The 8,558-nt window shown below is 46.8% G+C and overlaps 1 long non-coding RNA gene across 1 annotated transcript; it reads right to left on the bottom strand.

The window, feature by feature from the left end:
* Positions 1–6,949: 6,949 nt before the first annotated feature.
* Positions 6,950–8,169, bottom strand: LOC124902522 (uncharacterized). Its single transcript, XR_007062333.1, has 2 exons — positions 8,093–8,169; positions 6,950–7,465 (listed from the first exon to the last, which is right to left on the bottom strand). It is a non-coding gene; the product is annotated as an uncharacterized LOC124902522 (long non-coding RNA).
* Between the last annotated feature and the right edge of the window lie 389 nt (positions 8,170–8,558).

Raw genomic sequence — 8,558 nt, forward strand, 5'->3', positions numbered from 1 at the left:
TCCTCCCACGCCGGAAAGAACAAAGTACTCATTTTTTAGCAACCCAAGAACAGAAGAAGGGGATATTGGCGGAACCTCTTCATATTAAAGACCAATTAAGTTATTAGGCAATTTCAGAGAAGTTCCAACAGAACAGAGCCTTTCTCTTACATTGCAAAATACCTCTGAGCCCTATATGAAATCACAAGATACAACACGGTTGTGTTACTCGTTACTTCTTTGGCTGTTACATTCACTTATTCCTCCAACAAATATTTATCACGTAATCTCCATGTGCAAGTCATGGGAGATTTGATGGACACAAAATCCTGCAGAAGAAAGAATCTAAGATCTGGTGTTAGAAAACCTCGATTGGAATCACCACTTTGCTGCACACGTGATTTTTAACACGCCACTTAAATGCCATTTTCTGGGCCTTAGTTTTGTCATCTGTAAAATGATGATCTGATACTGCTTCACAGAGTATGGGAAGCATCTCTGTAAGTGCTAAAGTCCTTTCAAAGGTCAGTTGCTGTTATTTTTTGAGTCTCCTAGCAGGATGGGGTGACCGCACTCCTGGTTTACCTATAACAGTCTCAGTTGCACCTGTTCTCCCAGCCCCTTTTCATTCTTAAAGGAGTCCAAGTTTGGCAAATAACTGATATGATCCCCTACTGATAGAGTCATCTGTATCGGAGAAAACCATGCAACAAGGACCAGAGTTCCAATTTTATCGTTCAGTTGCAGTGACTTTCCATACCTTACTATCTGTTCATGGAAGTTTCTCGCGGCCTAACAATACTTCGCTCTTTTTGAAGGTGCAGCCAACTCGGCTGTGAAAATTCAACGTGTGCACAGAAGTGGGTACTCTGCCGTGCATTTGCACAGAGGTTTCTCATGAAAAGAAACAATTTGTGGAACACCCGTCATGAATACAGAATTTGGGCATAAAGAAATGTTCTCCTGCATAATGGTATTCTTCAATTCACGAATGGAAATGTTATATTTCAAGGCAACAGTGTTGTGAGCCTTTACAATAAGCACAAAGCACTACCCCAGTCCGGCAATAGCTGAAAACCCGGGGGATTTTGGTGTTACCAAGTAGAACTGGGCTGCTAAATTGTGGCTGAGTGTGAGACACTGACCGTGGGTTGGATCTTGCACTTCAAGAGCCCTGTTCCCAGAGCCCTGGGCTGTGTTTCTCAATCTCACTCAGCTTGTTTCCTGACTCAGGGAGCAGGTATGATTCCTGTACCTGCCTCTTGGTACTGCTTTGAGGGTTACAAAGGCTAATGCATAGAGTATTTAACAGCACCAGAGACATGCCGATTGTCCCTAAGTTGTAGAAAGGCTTATCATTCTCCACTGTGCTGCTCCCAACAGAGCACTCTGCAATGGTTAACTTGAGGGGACCAACCCTTGCTATACCCTCTCTCCTTTGGCCTTGTTTCCAAATATTTGTAGGAGTTGTCCAGACCAAAGACTTTCACATGTGGGCAGTGAGTTGAAACCCTGTCTGTATCAGTTAGCCATTGCCACAATGATGCCGGGTAACAAACTCCCCCACAAAACTTGGTGGCTTAAAACAACAATGAAGCATTCTCAGCAATGTGTGGGGCAGCTGGCATCAACCGATCTAGGCTGAGCTATACTCCAAACTGCTCTGGTTGGGGAAACTTTGGCAGCAGCTCTACCAGTACATGGCTCTCATCCTGCTTCTGCAGCCAGGGGCCTCTCCAGGGCATGTGCTTCTGATGAAAATAGCAGGAAGCACTCGAGGGCTCATGGAAACCCTCCAGGTCGCCTAAGGTGTAGGCTCAAAACCAGTCGCTGCCACTTCTGCCCAGATATCGTTAACAAGAGCCAAGTCCAAGGTGAAAGGACAGGAGCACTCCCTTAAAAGGGTCGTGGCAAGGATGTGCTGGTAGAGAGGGGGGAAGAACTGGGGCCAGTAATTCAACCAACTGCACACTGTATCTCATCTTTTGCAGAAAAGGGATGGAACAAATTTGGAGCACCTACTTTGGGCCAGGACTCATTTAAGCTTCAAGAAACCTAGGAAGGAGGCAACTTCCCGCCATCTTATAGGTGGAGAGACTGAGGGTGAATATTGAATTGATTCACTTTTGCCACATAACAAAGCACTCCCAGAGTGTCCTAAGATCTCCATTTCTTTCACTTCCAATGCTATAGGTAAGCAGTTTGGGCTGGACGCAGATGGACGCCCTTCTGATGATCTCAGCGAGACACTACCCACTCATGGTCAGCTAGGAATCAAGTGGAGGCTGACTGGTCTCACCCACCTGTCTGGTAGTTGATGGCTACGGGCAACACGAATGGCTGAGCCATGTGCTCTCATGAACCCAGCTTCCCAGGGCAGCAAGAGAGCCAGCCCCAATGTGTGAACACTTTTTAAAGCCTTTGGTGGCTTGTTTGCTAATGTCCCAGGAGCCACGTAAGACATAAGGCCAGTGCAGAGCCAGTGTGGGAGGGGACTATCCAAGGGGCAGATAGAGGAAGTTAAACAAATTATGGCCGTTTTTGTAATCTGCAACAAGAACTCCGTTCAAGGAACACACTAAATGCATGGCAGAGCTTCCTCTTTGATCTTCTGAGCTGACAGGCATGTGGTGAGCACAGCCTCATGTGTCCCTAATGTGTTCCAGACACACTTAGCACTTCCCACACAGCCATGTAAACTGCCCGGTCCTCACCGAACTTTCTACTCCGACTGATCTTGAGAGGCACGTGTCTCAGGATTTAAATAAAAATGAACAAATAAATGTATTTATAAAGCCTTTGGAAAAACAGTGTAAATGACTTAGAAACAAAATTTATTTTCAGAGGAAGAAATCTTGTTTATGTGATTCTAGATTAATTCTCAGAAAGCATTTTTATAATGGAAGCAGGGAATTCTATAGGTCTCTGGCCTCATGTCCACAGCAGCGCATCAGTTTCTCAAGGTATTGCTGGGCTTGGTTTCCAAAGAAGTGCCAAGGAGTCACTGAGGGTGCCCAGGTCTTAGTAAGTGAGCTTTGACTCTGACTCTGTAGCTGTGTTTAAACAAATTCAGCCATTTTGTATCATATATCTGGAAAAGGGCAAAATCATTTTTCAAGTTGGAGAGGATGGAGAAGAGGGGAAATGTGTTTGGTGTTATTGCAATTAGTCACGCTTTGGAACATCCTGGGGAAAGTCGACTCTCAAGTTATTATTGACATAGTGAAGTGGAGGAGGTTAAAAAGAAGTCTGCAGGCCCCATTAATTAACCTCTCCATTATTTTTATTTCCCTGTGCATTTTTCTGATGGACAGAAGATCAAGGGGTCAAACCCTGTTAGAGCTGCAGGCATCCCGGCATTCACAAAGCCCAAGCCTCTTGCTTTCCAGAGACAAGAGGAGTTGTTGTCAGTCTTCACAATCACAGCAGGCTTTCAGGTGGGCACAGATCTTGGGCCCACAGCGTTTGTGAGGCAGGTCCCCTTCTCCACCTCATACTGTTTCTCCAAATGCTGCTCATACATTGCTAATCCTCCTCCAGGAAGCCTTCCTGGATGTATTTCTACTTCCTCTGTAACCCTCAGCCTTTCTTGGTGCCTCCTTATAGTGGATTCTGGGGCACTCTGCCCAGATCCCCTCTTTAGGACCAAAGCATACATTCCCCCAGCTGTAGCCCTCACTGGCAATTGCATTTAGCCACAGGGAATAGCCCAGCCCAAGGTCATAGCTCTTGCAGAGGCAGCCTACGGCTGGTGACTGGCTGAAGCAGGGAAACCAAGCCCAGCCTACTTCCCTCCATTTGGGGACAATGCTGAAGGGTCACCCTGGCTTCAGAGCTCCCACCGGAGCAGCTGGGCCTCTGTTGTATCTGTTGTAGATCCACTTCTCCTTCTGCCCAATCCTTACTGCCTTATGGATCCATCTCTCAAGAAACCTACATGCAGTTCTCTACCTCAGAGTCTGTTCCAGGGAACTCATCCTGGGACACTCCTTCATGGCATCCCATGTCTCATTTTATGTTTGCTAACTGGGTTCTCTGACACTGAGCTCACCCTGATATATATATTTAAAAACCAGAATGGCTAAAAAGGAGGGAAACCGCAATTGTAAAGTTGCCCACAATTTCCTCCTTCACTTTAGGTGGAGGTCAACTTTGTCTCTGGGGAAAGACTGCACGCCTGTCTATTAGAGGGTAGAAAGGACACTTCAGTGTCCTTGTGATCTTGCAGAGAAGACCCCAAGCCCACACTGGCATGGAGAGGATGAGGCCACAGTGCAATCGATCAAGCACTGTGGATTGACGCTCAAAGGCTGTCTGCACCAGGCAAGGAGGTTCCTTCTCAACCGAGATCACCATGATGCTGATGGGAAACCAGTCATGAGGGAAATGTGGGCTTCTTTCCTCCTCTGAGCTGAATCCACTGAGGGTTGGAAGAATATGATGAAAGCTGTCCCCTCGCTCCTGTGGGAACCTGGCCAGCCCTGTTGGGAGTAGTGTCTGGGCTGGACACCTAAGGAGAGCCAAAAGGGGATCCCATGAAGGCCACAACCAATGCACTCTAGATGTTTGTTCAAGAGGTGATTTAAAAATTGTCCTCAACTGCACTGTAAACCCTGATGCTACCCCCAGATCCCCATGGCCATCAGCATGGTTTGGTCTTTGCTAAACTTTGTGGAATTAAGTTTAAGTGCCCGTGTTCACACTTGGGATGTATAAGGAGAGCTCTGGCAGCCTAGATCATGACTGTGGCATGAGGGAGTGGACACACATAGCTGAAGTGCTAAGATTCAGTTCAGCTGGGCTCACCAAGCCAGTGCATTTCTTGGAGACTTTTGGAAACTCTTGGAGTGGGAGTGGGATTGAGGGTTCTGACAAAAACAGACGTCCTTAGTTGCAGGACAGCCTGGGACTTGTTGGCTGGGTACTGAAAGGAAGCTGCATCCTGGAAACCTTGGGTCTGTTGGACTCTGGTTAGTTGGGCTATTTCCTTGATTGAATGTGTAAGCGCCCTGCAAGCAGGAACCGTGCTTCATTCCTTTCTTGGGTTGTCCACAGTGCCTAGTACAGTGTTTGCACATTGTGGGGCCTGATGCAATCTTCAATTTTGGGCCCCAAACCTGTTAACAGAGAACACAATGATGCCTCAGAGAGAATGTGGCCTGGCAGGGTCCCAGAGCAAGTGAGTGGCTGGATCCCCAGCCCCCAAGGAGCATGCAGTCTCCAGCTACCTCTTACTGCTCAGGAACAATGGGTGCCCTGAGTAGAGATAGAGTCAGCTTCAACCTCCTGGGGGGAAGGATTTGGTGTGTTCCCTTCAACCAAGGATGCCCTGCTGAGCACCTAAGAGCTGGCAATTCCCAGCCCATGATCTCTGTAGTGGGCAGAGTTCTAAGATGGCCCTCAGTCTTGTGTAATTCCCTCTCATGTGTATATGATAGTACTCCTCTGATTATGCTACATGATATGGCAAAGGGATTTTGCAGCTGTGATTAAGGTTACTAATCAGTTGACCCTAAGATGGGGATATTATCTGGATGGGTCTAACACAACCAGAAAATTTTCTCTGGCTGGTGGTAGAAAGGGACATCAGCAAGAGTTAAGCAAAAAAAAAAAAAAAAAAACAGAAAACAAAACAAAACACTGTTGTTGACTTTGAAGATGCAGGGAGCCACATGTAAAAGCTGGATAGCATCCTGTAGGAGTTGAGAACAAACTTCATCCAACTGTCAGTAATGTTAGGGGGACCTCAGTCCTACAACCACAAGGAATTGAATTCTGCAACAACCTGGATAAGCTCAGAAGCTGGTTCTCCCCCCAGGGCCTCCAGCTAAGAGTCCAGCAGCTGGTACTTTGATTTCTCTTGTGATATCCTAAGCAGAGCCCAGGTGAGCCCATGATTTCTGACCTATAGAATTGTGAGATAACAAATGAGTGTTGTTTTAAACCACTGCAATTGTGAAAATTTGTTGCCTAGCAATAGAAGGCTGACATCGTCTTTGAAAGCTCTTCATAGAATGGAGCATGGACAAAGTTTGAATTCCTTTTATACTTCTCCTTAGTTGCACAACCCCTGAGTCTCAGTTTTCTCATCTACCGAGTGACAGATATAACACCCACATCTCAGAGTTGTCCCAGTGAATGCAGTCTGAGGACTTGGAGTTCAAGAACTTCCTTCCTCTCAACGTGGCTGCTCTTGGGAGAGTCATTTACCTGCTCTGCACCTTAGTTGTCTCCTCTGTGAAATGGGTCACATTAATCATTATCTTATTATTGTTCTAAAGATTGTATCAAATGAGATCATGGATGCATAAGGCATGGCACCAATGTTTGTAATTTACACCACCAGTCTGAGCACAAACCACAGACATCATACACCCAAGAACAGGCCACAAACGTCCACTTTCTGCAAACCTACCATCAAGCACCACCATTTTTGTATAGTTCAGAGCCCTCTAATTAAGAAATATATTTAATGTTTAAGGAAAACTGCCTAGATGCCATGATAACCCTTTGAATAGTGTTGTCCCTTATGCAATATTTTATTTGGTCAAAAAATAAGACATCATGGAAGATCAGAGGAGGTTCTGAGCTTTGAGCTCACTCTCAGGAGTGAGCATGACTGGCTTGGTTGTTTTGACAGGAAAGAACCTTCTCCAAACAACTCCAAGCACCAAAAAAGTTTTTGCTGTAAGAAGTTTTCAAATCATAAACTATGTTGTCATTCATCCTTTCATGCAGATCCCCTCCTGCATTGTCCCACAAGGAAAGCTCCTGATTAAGATGTAGGGGCTGTAAATCAGGAGAAGGCGCCTGCATGTTCTGCATGAGGGAGCCATATGGCTGGCTGCATCGACTGCTGGGGATGTGACCGTTGCCCATTCATTGCGCCATATCTGAGCACCAGCATCCTCTACGGTGATTCATGGGTGCCCTGATCACAGGCCCCATGTTATCTAATAGATTTCTGAAGTTTTCCACCAAGCATTTTATTTTAAATGACAGTTATTTCTATTAATGGGTGGGCCCTGTCAGTTTCCTGACCCCGGTTGGGAAGGATGTCTTTCTGTTCAAATGGCAGTCATCATTTCTGTGAAGCCATGCATGTAAAGAAGGCAGCCGGAGCAAGGCACCTCGCACAGGGCTGTCACTCAAGTTGACATCTCCATGTTGGAGCATTTTTGCAAAGTTTTCTCCATGTGACCTGCAAGTTAAAGATCAGGGGGCTCCCTTCATCCAAGCCATCCATGTGCCAATCATCCTTACCTAAAAATGAAAGTTACAAATAAGCCAGCGCTGCTATTTATACCCTCCTGCCTGGCCCATCTTCCTCCTGTCAATCTTGGTCTTTCATTATGGATACATACGCAGCACCTCTTCTCCATCAAGATCACAGATTAGCTGCTCCCGCTTCTCCACTGTTTGTTTTCCCCTTACCTTTTGTGACGTTTTATAAAATAACCATGTTCTCCTGGTCTTCAGGGTTTTTCTGTCAATAGAAGATAATTTTTTCCCTTCTCCTCTGTCCTTCCTTTCTTTCTTCCCTCCCTTCTTTCTTCCTTCGTTCCCTCTCTTTTCTTCCTCCTTTCATTATTTCCTACCTTCCATCTTCCTTTGTCCATTTTACCTCTCTTGCTCTTCCTTCCTTCCCTCCGTCCCTCCCTCCCTTCCTTCCTCCCTTCCTTCCTTCCCTCTTCTGTGTCTTCCTCATCCTCTTTCCCTTCCATTTCTTCTCGGTCCTCTTCCTTTTTCTTTGTCCCTCCTTTATTCCTCCCTTTTCCTGATATTTTCAAGCAGGAAGTTTGGAGATGGCCTGCCCTTGCCCAGCCCTTTCCTGTAGTCCTGCTTGCTGCCAGCCCCACGCAGAAGGCCCTGTCTCCCCACACATCCCCTCCCAGGCCTCTCGCCCAGCTGCCAGTCTGAACCCTGAGCCCAACTGACACCGTTCCACTCGCCGTTGACTGAGCCACCCACTTCTGAGGGATTCATTTCCCTGATAGAACTTTCTTTTCCTCTCCCCTCAGGTCGCCTTCCCCTCTCCACCTGGGGGCCTTTGCTTCAGCACCGCAGGGGATCTTTCGTAGCTCATCCAATAAAAGCCACCCTGCATAAATACCTTGTTTATTCACTCAACCAGTATTCACTGAGCACCTTCTACATGCCAGGCTCTGCAGAGGTGCTGCGGAGAGTCAGGCAGTCACAGATCCTACTCACAAGAAGCGTGATGTTTCCTAGGGAAAACAGACAGTAAGCAAATACCTACCCAAACTTATTTAATCACAACTGTGATGCGTGTCACAGAGGAAGAGTCTGTCATCAGTCATACAGGTCCTTGTGTGCCCCACTCCCCACACGGTCCCCCAGGGTGCTGATGGTCATTAGAGGTGCCTGTCCTTGAATAACGTACTCTGTGGGGTACATGGCGGGGGAAGGTTTAAGACTTCCCCACCCTGGAGGTGAGTCTGCTGGCCTGGTGATTTATGGGACCCCTCCGCTGTGCCCAGACATCTTCCGAATGCTGATGTGGATACCAGGAAACAGAACGGGAAAAGGTCCACTGTGCCCATGTGGTCCTTCCCGGG

The sequence above is a fragment of the Homo sapiens genome, chromosome 10 (assembly GCF_000001405.40).
Source record: "Homo sapiens chromosome 10, GRCh38.p14 Primary Assembly".
Lineage (NCBI taxonomy): Eukaryota > Metazoa > Chordata > Mammalia > Primates > Hominidae > Homo > Homo sapiens.